General features: G+C 43.0%; 1 protein-coding gene across 1 annotated transcript in view; it reads left to right on the top strand.

Annotated features, from left to right (window-relative positions):
- Positions 1-17,788, top strand: part of LOC124903162 (uncharacterized) — a 138,590-nt gene extending 120,802 nt beyond the window's left edge. The window contains exon 5 of the mRNA XM_047430821.1: positions 14,576-17,788. Within this exon, the coding sequence (XP_047286777.1) occupies positions 14,576-14,641 (66 nt within the window). The 3' untranslated portion in view covers positions 14,642-17,788. The remainder of the gene's footprint in view (positions 1-14,575) is intronic.
- Positions 17,789-19,340: the final 1,552 nt, after the last annotated feature.

Below are 19,340 nucleotides of genomic sequence, written 5' to 3'. Positions count from 1 at the left end.
GGTTAAGAATAGTATTACAGCCTTCCTAGAATCATAGCCTATTTTTACAGGTTAACAGGTAAAGGCAGGTTAACCAACTGGCAATAAGAACAGCATCAGCAGAGGCACAGAACAAGCAAGCTCAGCTTATATTCTCTTCACAGCCTTGCAGCAATTCCTTTCTGCAACCACCTGTCCTAGCTCAGGTTCCCATTATGTTATTCACTGGGAACAATGATCACTAATCCTTATTGAGAGTTTACTACGCAGCAGACGTTATGCCTTGTGCTTTGCAAATGATAACTAAGTGATTCTCACCATCTCCCCACGGGGAGGGCATAATTTCCACTGTCCTATTTTGGAGGATGCTGAGCACAGAGATGTTCATTTCCTGCTCACGGCCACATGTCTAGTTAGTCACAGTGCTGGGGCAGGGACCCAGGCAACCAAGCTCCAGAGGCTATGCTTTATACCCTGAACTTGACTTCCTCCACTCTTTCCCTGGCTACATTTATATTGCACAGCAGAATCTGAAAGCTTCATGTTCCCCATCTTTTGTCTGTTGACAGAGCTATGCCAGCCATTCTTGTTTCTCATATCAAATGCAAACCATTTAGAGTTGTCATTTGGAAATTCTGCAATGTTTGTCCCAAGAACAGGGGAACAGGACTTTGAGCTTTCAGCCCAAATGTTGCTCGCCCTCCCCACAACTCTCTCTTTTATGTAAGCTTCACTGGGAAATCATCAGAAACAGGAGCTATACAGTCCCCCGACCCAGCCCCAACCCTCTGATCTATCCTACACTTCACCCTCCCATCCCTATTTTTAAACAAGATTGAGACTCACTTGTTTGTGAAGTCGCCAAATCAATTCCAATTTATTAACTGAGAACAAGCAGGCAGACAAGTAAACAGAGTCTGAGGTGCAAAGCCAAAAATGCAGGTTAACAAACAGACAATGTGAAAGGCATCTGGACAGGCACGAGAACAAGCCAGGCTGATCGCTCGGCCCCTGCAGACAAAGTGCCACAGAAGGGATTAGAACACACAAGGACTTCAGCCCCACTGAGTCCCTTTCTAGGAAAACCACGTCTTGTAGCCATGCGATAATAGCTCAGCTTGCATGAGACATGGGGGCCAAAAAACCTGGCCCCAGGGAGCCAGAGTGCGGCCACCTGGTCTGCTCTGAGAAGGACTGTGGCCAGAGGAGAGGGCCTGGATGCCTTGCACCAGAAATGAGGGAGAGAGAGAACCAAGGGGATGTGGAAGCCTTCAGATGGGTCTGGGGACATGTGCTGGGTGGGACACCCCCATTCCACACTCAGTGCTAATGCCTTACACCCACTACCTCTGGGCAGCTAAGTGAGGTAGCCCTTCTTATGCCTCTCCTCTCCAGTGAGTGGGTCCTACAACCAGTGCTTGAGAGCACGGCCTCGGGACCAGAGCACCTGCCTTTCCATCCAGTCCCTGCTTCTCATGAGGAAGGTGTCCTTGGGTAAGTCTCATAATCTCTCTGTGCCTCAGTTTCCTCATCCAAGCTATGAAGACCATAATAGTCCTTATTCCATAGAGTGGTAGTGAGGATTTAGTTAGTATATGTAAAACACTTACATGGCCGGGCACAGTGGCTCACGCCTGTAATCCCAGCACTTTGGGAGGCCAAGGCAGCTGGGTTACCTGAGGTCAGGAGTTCGAGACTAGCCTGGCCAACATGGCAAAATCCTGTCTCTACTAAAAATACAAAATTAGCCGAATGTGGTGGCAGGTGCCTATAATCCCACCTACTCGGGAGGCTGAGGCAGGAGAATCACTTGAAACCAGGAGGTAGAGGTTGCAGTGAGCTGAGATCATGCCATTGCACTCCAGCCTGGGCAAAAAGAGCGAAACTCCATCTCAAAATAAATAAATAAATAAATAAATAAATAAATAACAAAACAAAAACCCACTTACAACAGTGCTTGAAAACTAGAAGGCGCTATATTATACAAAGACATGGTCAGACACCAGAGGAGGATGCTATGGGGTTTGGTGTCTGACTGTCAGAGTCCAAATCCAGCCACTGCTATTTTGTTACCATGTGGCCTTTAGCTAGAGACTTAAATCCTCTTGGCTTCAGTTTCTTCATTTATATGGGGAAGATAATAATAGCTGTATCATGGGGTTGTCAAGAGGCTTAAGTGAGTTAATATTATAAAGCACTTCAGATAGCACCTAGCCCCTGAAGAGTAGTTAGTAAAATTATTATTTAACTATATGGCTTCTGTCAAATCTTTCCTGCCAGGGTGACACTACGAAAAGAGATCATCTGTAAAGGAGGTAATAGGGTGGCCTGTGATATCTATGTTCCTGTTACCATGAAGAGATAATATGAAGTTTTGGTGAGAAAATTACCCCTTCTATTGGTCACTTTTAAATATCAGCCAGGACTCATTTATTCATATTATAGCATTTATTTTCGAATGCTACACTTTCTGTCACCAAAGTCTTCATCCAAAACCTCTCTCCAGCTACTTCTGCCACCTGAGTCCATGCCCCCTGACTTTTCCACATCAGTGATCCATCCATGTCACGGTCTTTTGTAACCAGCTCACGGGTTCCTGCCTCCTGCCTGAGTCTGTACGTTAGCCATAATTGCATCACAAGGTTATATGGCTCATAAAACAGAGCAGGATATTGAATGGAAAATTAAACCACAAGTAAGCTGGTTTCATCACACCTTGCAAGGGTGCATTAGTTATTCCATGCAATTTGATTCCAGCTCAAAATTTGCAGTAGGGTTTAGTAAAGGCAGCTGTTCTTTACCTATTACAGTGTTCAAGGGGGTTTTCCTGATTTTCTCAACGTTATGGGAATTCTGTAAGTGTGTTGTCTCTCAGCTCCTCCCCTTATAGAGCTGCTAAAAGTACATAAGGAACATGAACTTTTGAGATTTGCTTAACCCGTGGCCACAGCGCTAGCATAGCTGCTTTTGGAGAAATGGAGAACGTAGAAGTTGATCTGGACGCTCCTGTTTGATCCTCTCTGTGTGGCACTGGATCTAACAGTGGGCTCTGCAGGTCAGGCCTAGGGCTGGAAAGCTGCAGATAGAGAAACAGATCCGTCAGAGGTCATGGGCAAAGGATCTATGGATTTGGTGTTAGGGTGAGAGGAGATATTAAAAGAAGTCTCTTCTTTGAGCCTGGAATTTAAAAAAGATCATCATGATGGGAAGGTTGGGAAGAGTCAAGGGCTTAAAGAGAAGAAAAAAACACCAGTCTCCTGTTAATTGAGCACTGCAGGAGAAAAGTGTAAACCATGCAAAGTACTTACACTCTCCCTGGAGAGAAAAGTCACAACTACACACAAACCTGAACAGCAAACAATTGGTTTTGAGATCGGACCATGAAAAAGAATGCTTTATGACATTATAGAATTAGTTTGCTGTTTAATTACTTTCCGAATGGTTTATGTAGAGAAGAACCATTGGAAGGTCACTTCTGGCCAAGGGTAGGAGGGGAGATAAGGCTGCAGATAAGAAGTGCTGTCTGAGCTGCCTTTGACACATTGGTAGGAATTGCAAAGGTGAGAAAGACAGGCAAAGTGGCGCAAGCAAGAGTATGGAAGCTGGAAGGCCAAAGGGAGGATGAGTGCTCAAAAATCGGGCCACAGGAGGTGAATAGTTGGATCTAAAGCTGAAAAGTTAGAACAACACGCAGGTCCTTTTTAGCTGTTTTGGCAATTTACTTATCCTCTTTCTGACTCAGTTTCCTTGTGTACAAATGAAAATCATGACAGTACTTACCAGATGGGGAATTGTGAGGACCATGTGATACAACGTCTATGAAGAGATGATCATAGTGCCTGGTACATAGTAAACACTCACTGAGTATTTACTCATGATGATGATGATGATGGCAATGATGATGACAACCATCAGTGGTTCACTGTTACCAGAAATGCAGTGGAAGGCAAATGGTGAGCAGTGAAGCTGAGGACACATTGATTTTTTATTCTATCGGCCAATGGGGATTTTTAAAGGGTTCTAAACATGGGAATGACCAGATTTAAAATTCAGATAGTTTGTTTCCTTCGGGGGTCAGTGCAGTGAATGGATTTGGGGAGGGAGGATCAGACTAGAGGCCAGAAGTCCGGTGAGCAATATTACAGTAGTCCAGGTGAGAGGTAATAATGGCCTGCCTAACCCAGGGAAGCAGCCACGGGGATTAAAAGGAAGGGGCGTATTTGAGAACTTTAGGTGGTAAATGTGATAGGAGCTGGTAACGGAGAAGAAAGAACTGAGGACATCCCCAGGGTTTCTAAGCTAGGTGACTAGATGAACAGTGACTCATCTACTGATATAGGAGACATGTCAAAGAAGCATATACAGGAAAGACACAGGTAAAGATTAATCAGTAACACTGAGTTTGGCAGGGTAGGTGGCTCATGCCTATACTCCCAGCACTTTGGGAGGCCGAGGTAAGTGGATCGCCTAAGGTTGGGAGTTTGAGACCAGCCTGGCCAACATGGTGACACCCCATATCTACCAAAAAATACAAAAAGTAGCTGGGTGTGGTGGCACCCACCTGTAGTCTCAACTACTGGGGAGGCTGAGGCAGGAGAATCACTTGAACCTGGGAGGCAGAGGTTGCAGTGAGCCAAGATCCCACCACTGCACTCCAGCCTGGGTGACAGAGTGAGACCCTGTCTCAAAAACAAAACAAAACAAAACAAAAAACCGAGTTTGAGGAATCTGTAGGTAGCCAGGTGGACCTCTGTATATATGATACTGAAACTTGGAAGAAGATCCCAGCTAGAAACACAGACTTGGGTGTTGCCAGCACATTGATGATTATGGGACCATGAGAGTGAATGAGATTACCCAGGGAAAGAACATGGTGTGAGAAAAGAGAGATCAAAACGAAACACTCGGAAACAATACCATTTAAGGAGTATAAGAAGAAAATTAGCTAATAAAGCCAAGAAGGACTGATCAGAGAGGTTGAAGGAGAAATAATAGAGTGAGGTGTGACAGAAACTAAGAGAATAGAGAGTTAGGAGAGAGAAGAGATCCACCATCTTAAATGACATGTGTAGGCCCACCAAGGTAGGACAGAGAAGGGCCAACTGATTTTGCAAATGTAGGAAAAGGAGGTGAGAGTGGGGAGGAAGGAATGTGAGGTGAGGGAGCAGAGACAGACAGCACTGACCCTTTCTTTATTTCAGCTATTGTGTTGAGAAAAGAGAGAGAGAGGGAGGTAGCCAGAGGAAGGAATGGAAAAACAGAGCTAGAGTATGCTTAATGTTTTTTGTTCTAGTGGGAGAGATTGAAGAAAGTTTCTATCTAATAGGAAAGAACTTATGGAGAGGAAGAGGTTTTAGAGCCAAAAGAAAAAGAAGTTCAGAAAGAGACAGGTGGACACAATACCAAGAGCTTCACAAGGAAACAGCCTGGTCTAGAATAAAATAGGAGAAAACAAACAGGCAAAACCCACCATCTTTTCCATCTTTTGTTAGGTTCTTGGCAAAAAATGAGTGGATGAAAGCTTTTGTAGGTGTGCACCACCTTGAAGTTTGCACATAACAGTCTCAAGTTTTTAAAATATGTGGAAGTGGAGGCCATGTGCTATAAGTGAGGGATACAGTAGATTATTAAGACCTCTCTGGAGAATTGTGAAGATTTGGAGTTTCTACCCAAAGGGGACTGTGGAAGGACAAGAGAAAAATGGAAGACCATGAATTGACGGCAGCACCCATCTGCAATGCTGGGCAATATTTCTCCTTCCTCATTTAATGAATTGAGTTTAAGATGAGAAATGCAGACTGTAGTATTCACTCAGGCTTGGAGCTTTGCCACTTAGGCACAGAGAAAGTCCAGGAATGCAAAGGCAATTGGGGATGCTGGTGAAATGGTAGTTTCAAGGAAAAGCCATGAAAATAAGCTCAGGAAAGCTAATGATAGTCCTTCTGTCTTCTTATTTATCCCCAAAAGGCTCAAGGACAAGAAATTATCTCAAAAGAGATTATGTCTGTCTTATCATTATTTCATGGATGAGACCCCATTTTTATTTTTGCTCCAATTCATAATCATGAAAAACAATATATTTAACCTTAAAAGTTTCTTTCTAGACTGGTACAGTGTCTCACACCCATAATCCCAGTGCTCTGGGAGGTCCAGGAGGGAGGATCACTAGAAGCCAGGAGTTTGAGACCAGCCTAGGCAACATAGGGAGAACCTGTCTCTACACAACTTTTTTTTTTTTTTTAATTAGCTGGGCATCGGGGCTGCACCTGTGGTCCCAGCTACTCAGGAGGCTGAGGTGGGAGGATCACTTGGGCCCAGGAATTTAAGGCTGCAGCGAGCTATGACTGTACCACTGCACTGCAGCCTCAGTGACAGGAAAATTCTGCCACTAAAAAAAAAAGTAAAAAATAAAAGTCTCTTTCTCCTTGTCCTGGGGTTATCAATCAGCTTAAAGATTTGGAAGTTCCTGACTTCACTGGATGAGCTCCCATAGCAATCAGGTATTTCCCTGTGACCTGGGGGCTAGCGTGGACTTCATGTAGTGTTAGCAAGGGAAGAGGGATCGTTGTGCAGAAATGCTGAGGGCAGGGCATTCAACTCTAGATAGAAGTGACAGAAGGAGCTGGGTGTGGTGGCTCACACCTATAATCCCAGCACTTTGGGAGGCTGAGATGGGTGGTTCACCTGAGGTCAGGAGTTTGAGGCCAATCTGGGCAATATGGTGAAACCCTGTCTCTACTAAAAGTACAAAAATTAGCTGGGCGTGGTGGCGGGTGCCTGTATTCCCAGCTACTCAGGAGGCAGAGGCAGGAGAATTGCTTGAACGCGGGAGGTGGAGGTTGCAGTGAGCCGACATCGTGCCACTGAACTCCAGCCTGGGCAACAGAGTGAGACTCCATCTCAAAAAAAAAAAAAAAAAAAAAGAAATGACGGAAGACCTGGAAGTCACTTAACAAGCATCTGGAACATATAGGTGGAACAAAATAAGAGTGGAACAAAAGACCAAGAGTTTATTTTTAAAAGAAACAGGCAGTGACTTAATAGAAATCAATTGGCTGGATGAAAATGTTAAAAATTTAGTAAATAAGTTTGTCCTGCTACCTTAGTTTAATCAGCAGAACCATCTTTTTTGGTTGTTGTTGCTGGTGGTGGCACAAGAGCAATAATTACTTCCTCTCCCTTGTTAGGGACCCACCCCCTCAGTAGTGGCCATAGAGGAAGAACCCCCACCCCTCTAGAAGTGCCTCCTCCTCAGGAGGCCAAGGAGCTCTGAGAATGCACATTCTGATTCCTCTGGTACATAGTTTAGAAAGGCCTCTCGTTATTGTCAACTGCAAAATAAAAAGCTTCTTTGAGATGGCCTGTCCCATTTTAATGGCCCTTGGAGACATGCAGATAACTTATGGAGCCTCCTAACTTTGTACAAAAGACAAATGAATTATAAAGGTCACATAAACATATTGTTGAAAGTAATAATGGCATTTGTGCGGCACATTATGGTTTGCAAAGAAATGCCTCCTGTTACCGTATTTGAGCTTCGTAAAAACTCTTTGTAGTAGGTTGTTATTCTGAGTAACAATAGCCCCTTATATTTCTTGGCTTGAAAATGTACTTTTTCATTATATTTATTTGATTGTATTTCTCTATTGCTTTCTTTGGTATTCCTAAGTCATTTTTATTTCACTCTCCTACTCCTAAAACCGTCAATACATTTCTAGAATTAGATAAAATCTCTCATTCAATGTCCTTCATATTTCAGCTCAGACCATTCTTCCAACATATGTCCTTATGCTCACCTTCTTGAAAACACCTTTATCTTTGTTCTCTCTGTTCTCCCTCCTCCAATCCTTTTTTTTTTCTCTTCTCCCATCTTCTCTGCTTTTACCAAGGCTCCATCCTTGACTTCGACCAGCCCCTACAGGCTTCCTTAGATATCACCTCCTTGGTTAAAGTCTTTCCTGCCAATACCCTCAAACTTGGATGTGATATTTTCCTTTTCAGAATTTTCCATTTATTTGATATATTTGTTTCGAAACTTATGTCGTAACAGTGGCAAGGACATTTAGTGAACTAGTTTATTAGATTAAAATTTCTTGAAGGCTATGGCTTTGTTTTCTTCTTGATTCAAACCCCAGATCAAGTATCATTTCAACTATGAATTGTTTTCCATGGACAGTTAATAATTCCCTTTTCTCCCTATCATGTATTTTTTATATACTTTACCCAGATGTGCTAATCACGTTGTATTGAAATGGTTGGTTTTAATGTTTGTCTTCCCCGTTAAGCTAAAAGCACCTCAAAGGAGCACAGCATAGTTGTTAAGCGGCCAGACTGCCTAGGCTTAAATCTCAGCTCTGCTATTTACCAATAGTGTGACCGTGGGCAAGTTACTTAACCTCTCCGTGCTTCAGTTCCCTTATCTTTAAAACGGAGATAAAAATACTACCTTTCAGAGTTGCTGCGATAATTAAATTAATTAATGCATATAAAATGCTTATCAGATAGTATGCAATTATAATTATTATACTATGTTGTCCTTCATATTTTTATTGACAAGAACAATGCTTAAACTAAGCAGGCGCATGACAAATGTTTGTTGAATAAATAAATAAAAAAACGAGGGAAGATGCATAGGATGCTTCTTTCTAATAGATTCTAAACTCAAAGATAGAGACCGTCCTTCACCTGTAGATTTTCCACAACAAATTAATGACGTTTATAACAGATGATCAATAAGTATGTGTGGCGCATACTTTATAAATATTAATCCAGTGACTGGCAGGTTGAGAAAAATAAAAATAATAAATTGTGCAATGAATTCAGTTTAATCAAATAAATGATCACACAGGATTTTACATTAAGGTTGTGAGACACATTTCCCTCTTGTTTTAAAGCTCCCTGTTGGGAAGATGTTTCAACATGCATGGCTGTGCTTAGCCAGACCTTAGCTCTCTAATAATACGGAGGAAACCTGCCAGGTAGACATCAATTGGGGATGCCATCCCTGGGAGATAGATGAACATCACAGTGGGAGCCAGGATCACGCAACAGAGGTGGAGTATTAACACAGCTTCTGTGGCTCCCAAAGGGTGGAATGCAGACTCCAGACAGACCACTCTTTGGAAAGGTGTAGACAGCTGTGCAGTAGCCCCACTCTAGATCTGATAGATGTGGACTTTGAGCCAAAACGGAGGCTTTGGCTGGAAGAGTGAATCAACCGGGATTTTGAAAAGGCAGATTAGAAAAAAGAAGAAAAAAAGCCCTTCTTGGCAGATGAATCAGACAGGTATGGGGCTATTTCACAGTCCAGCAAATGTGCACATGCACACTCATGTCAGCGACCACAGCATGAAAAAAGCAGGGACCTGTTTGTTCAGTTAGAAATGCTTACCCCGGCCTCTTCCCCTCCCTTTCTGCTTTGTCACTCATTCTGTGTTGGATAGGTGTTCTTTTTCCCCTCATCCCCTCGGCTTTTTAAAGTAACATTAGCGGAGCAGTTAATGAGGCGGTGGAAAGCAAGCTGGTCTGTTCAGGGTTGCTAATGACTCCATTCCCGGGAGCCTAATCAAAGATTTGTACATTTAATTGCTGTCAAGCCACCGCCAACCACCTGCCATTTCGGCAGCACCTCAGCTCCCAGCTCGGTAGCCCCTGATTCTAAATGAATCCATCACCATTTCTAAAGGCCAGGAAGCTAGGCTGCTGGGCAACTTTGAAGTGGGCTTGTCCAGGAGGGCAGAGACCAACAGGCCTAACGGAGAGGTGTCACTTCCCTGACAGGGCCAGCATTGGAGAGGCGCCTGCACTTTTCTAGGATCCAATTTCTGCTTTTTTTTTTTTTTCCAGGGGGAGGAAAAGATAGGTGTGGTGAGGGTGACAGTGCGGAAAGGAGGAGAGGAGGAGAGAAGGTGACATCTAACCACATTCTTCAGAATCTACTGATGCTTTTATTCTCAGGGGTGACAATTTCTGACCCCAGCGCATGGTTGTGCCACAGATGAATGTTTGCTGGAGATCCTTTCCAATTAAAATGGTGATTGTTCTATTGCTTACCCCCATCCAGATTGTAGTTGTCCTCTAAGCTTTTTTTTTTTTCTGGAGATTTGGAGAATGAGAAAACATAGTCATTCTGGACCTGAGTGTAACCTAATGGTGAAACAGGCTAGCTACTTCATGGGGTATAAATCAGGCAAGAAAATTATGTTTAGCCATTGTTTGGACTGCAATAAAAATTCTTTAAGCTCGGCCGGGCGTGGTGGCTCACGCCTGTAATCCCAGCACTTTGGGAGGCCGAGACGGGCGGATCACGAGGTCAGGAGATCGAGACCATCCTGGCTAACACGGTGAAACCCCGTCTCTACTAAAAATACAAAAATTAGCCGGGCATGGTGGCGCGCGCCTGTAGTCCCAGCTACACGGGAGGCTGAGGCAGGAGAATGGCGTGAACCCGGGAGGCGGAGCTTGCAGTGAGTCGAGATCGCGCCACTGCACTCCAGCCTGGGCGACAGAGCGAAACTCCGCCTCAAAAAAAAAAAAAAAAAAAAAAAAAAAAAAAAAAAAATTCTTTAAGCTCACATACTAAATTCTGAGTGTATTCTTTGTACCTGTAATAGGCACATCAGGCATACCTATGATAGCTGATCTTTCAAAATCCGTCTCTAGAGTAGCAGTTCTCAAACTGGAGCATGCCTCAGAATCACCTGGGGGATTTATTAAAACACAGCTTGCTGGGCTCCCACCCCAGGGCTCCTGGTGCAGTAGGTCTGAGGTAAGGCCTGATGATTTGCATGTCTAACAAGTGGGTGGTGCTGACACCACTGATTTAGGGAGAAACATCTTACAGCCTCTTCGGAATGTACAGCTTACTGTTTGTAGGTGGATGAGATTCTCATTTACCAAGAACTTCATCTGCTGTCAGTACCTGAGTTGGCCATGGGAAAGAGGCACCAATCAGAGAACTTATGAAGAGAAAAGAAGGGATTTCTCCTTTTGTTTACCTTCCCAGCACAGTCCACTCACCATGTATTCAGGAAGGAGCCAGAACCACCGAGTCAGTGGGTGGGTAGGAAGGGTGCTTTGAGCTAGACAAAAAGCCCTTTTTATTTCAGAATTTCTTTGGTGGGAATGGATTTGGGAATTCTTTCTCTCCCAGGGTGATCAACCATCCTGGTTTGCCCAGGACCAAGAGATTGCCCCTGGGACTCCCAGTGCTATAAAACTGGGGGAGTTTTGGGCAAACAGGGGCTCTGTTCACGCATCTCTTCTTTAGTTAATAGAATCATGAAGGGCATATTGTTCATTCAGATTTACAGATAAAATGAAGGTAAAGATCGCCACAGGATTTCTTTCCATACCTCTGCCCCCCTCCCAAAGGAGAAAACTAAGGTATTCAGGCTGATAAATGCTCATTTTTCCCCCCAGCTTGCCATTGACAAGTACTTGCTCTAGGTGACTGCAGCTGGACCCATTTTTCATTATTTACTAACAGTAAGGACATTTCTTTTTTATTTCTTTACAAAAAAAAATTTGCTAAACTTCAACTGATTTTTAAAATAAATTAGGAGAGACAACCCCATCTTTTCACTGTAACATATAGCTTCTGCTCGGCTTGGAGCTGAATTTCTAGCATAGTCCTTTGTGACTAACCTGTTGATCTGATGAAGATACTGTAGGCACTAGCTCGGTCCTAAAGCTTTCTACTAATTGTTGTTTTCTTGTATTTACTTTCTCCACTCCAAATAGTTGTCACTGTGTTCCAGACAAATGCACACTTGTTTTGATTTCCTTCTTACTCCTTAGTCTATTTATATCAGGGGACCCTGGAAAGTGTGCAAGATAACCTTACTAGAAAGCTAAATTAATTCTAAAGAGCAAACACCATATGATCTGCCAATCAGATGGGAAAATATTGTTAATTGTTATTCATTTACTACCCTAAATCTTTCCCAAGAGTGCTTGAAATCACAAAAATGAGGTACATTTGCTCTCTATTCACCTTTGGAATTTAGATCTGAATGCCTCCCTGACCTGGGAAGATAGAACAAAAGAAATAATTGCCATCAATCTGACAAGACCGAGAAGGGCAAGTGCATGCATGTGTGTGAGTGTATATATTTTCATGGAAAAAATTAAGTTGGCAGCCTTCCTGATAGAAAATCCATTGCTTTTTGGGTTGAGAATTCCTCGAGGCAAAAATGTCCTGAAGAAGGGACTCCTGGTTCTGGAGTCATTGGAGTGGCTGAATCAGGATGGTGAGGGCACCGCATCGCTTTCTGCTCATTATCAGCACTCTATCAAGCACCATCCTCTGGGGATATCCTCCCCTGACCAGAGCAACTCCCACTTACAGGTCACTGGGACCGCCCTTACCTTCATGTTGCTTTATTCCCCCGTTTTAAGTCTTACTCACATAGCTCTGGGCCATGTGGGTATGTATGTGTCTTCTGACTTGATTGTAGACTCTTTAAGGCCAAGATCCAGGATATATTCATAGTGGGTTCCTTGCTGCCTGATGTAGAAAATGTCACCCAGTAGGTGCTCAATAAACACTGGTTGATTGAATGAGTGGCTGTTATGCTTGAAGCAGTTTCCATGATTCTAAGCCCATTCCTGGCTGATCATTTCTACAGAATTCACTGTGATTTTAATGCGGTAAATAGCTTTGGGCCAAGTCAAGTGATTCTTAGTGTAACACTCAGATTGGGCACAGGCATGCTCAAAGGTTAAACTGGCTGCTACTTGAGAGACAGGATTAAAAACATATAGTCAGAAAGGCAATTGGATTGCTTCATTTCACTCATAGCTTATGCACTCCATTCCCTTTGGCCCCATAAAACCCAGAACCATGGAAAATAAAGTCATCAGGAAGCTCATCCATTTCACTTTCTCTTTCCTCTCTCCCCCTTTTCCATGTAACTTGGGAGGCTGCCTTCTATGCTAGCACAGGACAACTCTGGCCCAGAGAAAGCTTTATTGTCACCCTGTAAATCTGGCAAAGAATAATGCTCAAAACGGTTCCACTGTGGCTTGAGGCAGAGGTCTTTGCTCTGCTCAGCCTAGCTCTCGTGTTCACTGCTTCTGCATTAATCCCAAGTATTAGGGTAAATGGTGGAAGAAATGGAGAATGTCCTTCTCTGGAAACCTTGACTTTATTGCAGGCATGACTCAGTTTATGCAATAGGTGTGGTCTCAAAGAGCTATGGGAAAATCACATTTTTAGAAATCAAGTCATATTTAAAGTGTACTACAAAAAAAGCTGACCATTTAATGAAGGTATTTATGAGTACTTTCAAAGTATCATCGTTGCTAGTGGAATATAAGTCCATAATTTCTCTTCCATGAACATCCAGATTTTCACAAGCTGTGTTTGCTCCAAGAGAGGTTCAGGAGATTGTGAAAGGTTGACTGCAGGTGGCATGGACATGTATAATTACTGTGTTTAGAGTCCTCTAAGACACTGGGGCTTGAGGGCTTTTGCTTATTCTCTTTCATCCACTGTTGTGCTGCCTCACTGGTGCCCCTCTCTATCCCATCTCTCCCCTACCTTCCCACCTACGCCCTCCCAGACCTCCAGGGAGAAAGAGAAGAGAGACATTTGAAATACTCTTCACTTCATCCTAAAGAGGTGAGCCACTTGCCAGTGGGTTCTAAGGAAACTTGAGGTTTGTGCCAGGGTAGGGTCACTGTCATCATCAGAGTGCAGGGAGTAGCAGCAAGTTGGGATTCAGCCAGCTCTAAACTCCTTGCTCTCTTTCGGACACAGGGCCTGAGAAGGGGAACTCAGTGTGATATGTCATGGTGCACACACAGCACTTGTCCCATCCCCACTTCCATGTTCTCTCTAGGCTCACTAACCCTGCACTCCATATTTCTGGGCCTCAGTTTCCCATACAGGCACTTCAGGGCCTCGAAAGGTCTGCGGGCAAGGGTGCCTTGGGAGGATGCGGTCCATTTTGTTTTGTGTGACTATTACAGAACCACACGAGGCGCTCTTTCGGCTAGGCCATGTGCCAGAAAGAGAAGAGAGAGTCTAGTCAGGATATTTAACTTATCATGGTCACAGCAGGAATTTTTCCTGCTGCAAACTTCCTAACATTCTGACCCTTCTGGTCTGAACATTTCCAAGGCTGTTCCTATGCCAACCGAAAAACATTCCACAATCTATGTTTCTTGTGCAGTATAGCAGTGGGCTTTTCAGTACCAGGAAGACGTATGAAAGGTTTGATTTATTGCCCATTCTTTTGTGTGGGAGAGTCTAGTGATTTCAGATATAACAACAGAACTCTGTGAGATGCTGAATTGCCCAGGGAGTGCTCAACTGCCCCGTGTCTTCACTTGGGAGGGTGTCAATCAATCATTCCTGGATACCTGACCAACATGGACGATATCATGCAGTTAATCTCAAAACAAAATATCCAGGTGTTTTCAGTTGTGTAGTCAACATACCCAAATGCTCCTCTGAAATACACCATTGTATTAGTAAGTCAGCTGCTTGGTTTCATGTCACCATAGCCTGACTATTCTGGACAAAATTCTGACCTTTGTTTTGTCTTTTATTTTATTTTTTTATAAATCACTCCTGTGTTTATGTTTGCAGGGAGAGAAAATCTTTTTCTGTCTGGTGTTTTTCAAAATTTTGATGATGGACTCACATCAAGGATGAAGAGCTTTGATGTCATTTGAACACCACCACCATCACCACCACCAGCATCAACAAACAAACAAGCAAACAAGCGTGAACTCAGGAGCCCTGTGGCCCAGCCTCCAGTCCATTTCCTCACTGTGATCTGGCTAAGTCACCTCCCCTCCACCTCAGTTCAGTCACCTACACAACAGGAATGGTGGCTCCTGGCGTGAAAAGTTCTTAGGAGCATTCAGCATGATGCTGTGTGGAGCACTTGGAAACTGCGTGTGCATCACCTCATATTTCTGGCCACAGGTCATTCAGACATCTGCCCTTTGCCCTGGAGGAGAACCACTAGGGACTTGTGCCCATAAGCACCAATTCTGGCTTTTACCCTACCCATCCTTTGCCATCCCAAACTATGCCATCAACAAATTCTAGAAATCAAGTTAGAAATGCTGTTCCCACGAGGGTCTCTGTGGTCTCTCAGAACAACAATCAGCTGGCCCTGCTGGGCAGATGTTGCCCAATCCTAACCCACACTTAGCTATCAACTTAATCATTCTCAACTAAAAACACCTACCTGAACACTTTTAGGGGTTAAGAATAGTATAATCTCACTTAGCCATTTGCATTTTTTCTTCTTTTTACAAAAAGAAATTTATCTTTTTTTTTTTTTGAGACGGAGTCTTGCTCTGTTGCCCAGGTTGGAGTGCAGTGGCGCAATCTTGGCTCACTGCAAGCTCCGCCTCCTGGGTTAGCGCCATTCTCCTGCCTCAGCCTCCCGAGTAGCTGGGACTACAGGTGCCTGCCACCACGCCTGGCTAATTTTTTTGTATTTTTAGTAGAGACGGGGTTTCACCGTGTTAGTCAGGATCGTCTTGATCTCCTGACATCGTGATTCGCCCTCCTCAGCCTCCCAAAGTGCTGGGATTACAGGCGTGAGCCACTGCGCTCTGCCAAGAATAGTATAATCTCACTTAGCCATTTGTATTTTTTCTTCTTTTTACAAAAAGAAATTTATCTCATTATTATGTTTAATCAGTTTCTTGAGGTATAACTTAAGTGTGCTAAAATTTGCTCTTTTTAGTGTACAGGTCTAGGATTTTTGAGAAACACATATTCATATGTGACCACCCCCATGATCAACATATGGAACAGTCATTTGCCACCCAAAATTACCTTGTGCCCTTTTGTTGTCAGACTCTTCTTTCTCCAGACCCTGGCAACCACTGATGGATTTTCTGTCCCTATAGTTTTGCCTTTTCCAGAATGTTCTGCAAATGTAATCATTTAGTATGTAGCCTTTTAAGTCTGATTTCTTTCACTCTGCATAATGCATTTGAGATTCACCCACGTTGTTACCTGTTACAATGGTTTGTTCCTTTTTATTGCGGAGTAATATTCCCTTGCATGGATGTACCACAGTTTGGGTAACCATTCAACAGTCAAATGAGATTGAATTTGTTTCCATTTTTTGGTGATTATAAATACAGCTATAAACATTTGTGAAAGTGTTTTGTATGTACATACATTTTTCTTAGACATTTGGTTTTAAGAGATGTATTTAGGTTTAGTTCCAGATGAACAATGAGAGACTGAAAGACTTAAGGGACCCCTGAGAAGAGCAGAGGGAATATTCCCTGAGGCAGCCATCAGTCAGACCTGGCCCTGTCATTTAAATGTGGGCTAGTGGTAGCAAGATGCTGTTATTATTTTCACCAAGGACATTTTTTGAGTAGCAATTAAAATGAAGTCTATTTCTCTGAGCCCCTGGAGAAGAACATAAGCACATGATGGTAACCATCAATTTAGTGGGCCTAACGTTATCTAGGTGGTTAATGTTTCCATGGCTTCTGGCAATTCCCAGTGTAAGTCACCTGTGTATACTGGGTGGATGCTTCTTTAAATTAAAGATAAGCTGTTCAGCTTAATAACAGCTAAGGGAGAATATAGAGCCCGTGGGTGAACTGTTTACTAACAAGCTTCTTCAGGGTCATTCAACTTGAATGAACTCTCTTTTAGGCTAACTTGGTTTGTGGAGGGAATGCATGTTTCTTAGTTAAAATAGTTACATTGGAATCCCAACTGTGCACAGGACTTCAAGGGTAATTATGAACCCCCACTGCAGATTTCAGGCTTAGCACCAATTCTCCTTGCTTTCTACTTGTATCCATCAAAAACAGAAGTTACGATGGAGTTACAGCTATACTTGTAAGGGTCTCAGTGAACCTCTCCCACTATTCTGCCTTATCACCTTTGGGTTCCTGTGTTCTCTACCCCCTCCCCACTGCATGTTTTCATTCAGCCAGGAAACATTTACTGCCTGCCTGGTATCAAGCCCTTGCATGAGGGTGGGAGCTCATAAAGATGACTACACTAGAGAATCATTTGACCTTTCTCATGTAGACCTCAACATGAATGAGTTTCAATGCTGATAGGGCAATCATTACCTTCAGACAAATTTTCAGGAACAGCCAAGACTAGAGAATGTATGGCTAAAACACAGCACTATGCATTTATAATAGTCATGGGTTCTCCTGTTTTAATTGTACATGGAGAATATTTCAGCTTTATTTGTATGGGCTGCTCTTATGTAAAACATTATTTCAATGAGGAAATGTGTTTGGGGTTCTAAATGACTAACTTACAAACACAACTTTGAATAAAGTCCATGAATAATTTGAGGATTTATGTCTATCAATGGCTGATTTACCAGATTGTTGGCTTTGGGTTTATTGGTATCCATGTTGAGAGGCATCAGATCATCCAAGGTTTAAGTTTCGTCCTGACCACTGACTAGCATTGAGACCTTAATGGGATTAATAACAATGATAATGATAGTGACAAGAGCTAGCTTTTCATGAGCACAGTGGCTAAGAGAGTTAGCATCAGTTCTAGCTGCTTTCATTGACATAGATGTAAATGGGGAGGGAAACCATGACTAGACTCAAATCTCTGCTCTAACGTCTGATACCTGAATATCACTTTGCAAGCCACGTCATCTCTCTAAGTTGTAGCTCTTTGTCTGAAAAATGTGGATAGTTAATACATTATAAATAAATTATTATTACATTAATACACAGAAATTCATAATGCTATTGTGGGGATTACATGAGATGATGGAAGTATTTAATCTAGTGTCTTGTATATGGCAAATAAAAAATAAATATTCACTGCTGTTAATATGCTTGTTGTCTTTTATGTGTGTATAGCCAGACTAAATGAATTTGAAAAGAAATGAGTGAGAAATTATGCTTTGATATTTCAAAATGATAGACTCAGGGTAGAGATTATCCTAGCTTTCCACAATTTGAGAAAGAAACTGAGATCTGGACAAAATATTTTAGTCCAGAACATGAAGGAGGTAATCTCATGCTTGGGCTGAGTAGGGATAATGTTGCCTCTAACACAGCAGAAAAAATTTCCATAATCCTTTGTAAATTCAATTTTCTTCAACAACAACAAAGAGAAACGATTTTCAGATCAGACTAGAAAGGATTAAGCCAACGTGAGGAGGGAAGAAATAATGTAATATGTTGGGACAATATCCAAGTGTCCAGAGAATCATGGAGAATGGAAAAGGTGCAGAGGACTAGAAATGAGAAAATGTCTTAGTTTTCAAAATTCTGGTTTAGATGATTAAAGAGATGACCTGTAATTTTTTAGAAGAGACTAGGATAGAATAAGGAACTCTCATGGGTTTGTGAAGACCTGGCCGTACCAACCCTCCTTTTCTTTCTTCACATGGTCACTAGCTTGAAAGATACAGGGAACACGTTGCCTAAAGTTGTGAAGAGAGACTTAATGAAATCTGAAATTGTGAAGTACTGGCATGATGGACAAATACAAAAATGTTACATTTAATAGGAGGAAATGTAATGCTTGATTCTTGACACACAAAAATCAGCAGGCTAAGAGTCCTGGTTAAGTCTCCCTGGTTTCAAGGAAACAAAATGCTGTGTGTGTTTCCAGTGTTTGTGTGTGTGTGTCCCTGGGGGGAGGCACCGTGGTGAGGCACAGGAATAAGTTTCAATGCTGATAGGGCATCATTATCTTCGGACAAATTCTCGGGAACAGCTAAGACTAGAGACTGTACAGCTAAAACACAGTACTATAAGTTTCTAATGGCCTTGGGTCCTACTGTTTTAATGATACATGCAGAGCATATACATATGGTTAGTGAAAGGATCTAGAGTCACCCCCCCCAACCCCCGCCCAGGAACAAAGCCCAAGTGGACCTCACATAACTAGACCAGAGACTGAGGCAGCTCTCTTCCTCCTCCTGCTCCTTCCCCCTGCCTCCCTCTCTTCTACCTGTCTTTCTTCCTGTAGGATCTCTTATCGCTCTTTCTCTGGTGTCTGTCCCATTAGCCCATTGCTTTCTGCTAACTGAATCTCTCTGCTTACTCTTCAGTGTGCACATTAATCAAAGGCTGCCTCAGCTGTACCTAGCCCCACCGCCATCTAGCCACATCCTCCACGGGTCTTAGCTCAATGTCTAGAAGGAGGAACTGGTGGTCCAGGCCCCAGGAGGAGCTGAGAGGCCTATAAACCATCCAATCAGCTGTGGTCAGGGGAGCAAGGGTCATGTGGGCAGCAGGGATGGTAGCTAGCGAGGTCTCTAGAGAAGGAGGTGTGTGTACTGCACATTCCTAGAATGAGACATCATGACACAGAAGCAAGTCATGAGAAAGAAATATTGGGTAGGTGGAGTTTAGACGTAATATATACCAAA

Source organism: Homo sapiens, chromosome 13, assembly GCF_000001405.40.
Source record: "Homo sapiens chromosome 13, GRCh38.p14 Primary Assembly".
In the NCBI taxonomy this organism is placed as follows: domain Eukaryota; kingdom Metazoa; phylum Chordata; class Mammalia; order Primates; family Hominidae; genus Homo; species Homo sapiens.
This window is presented reverse-complemented; position numbering and strand designations above follow the sequence as displayed.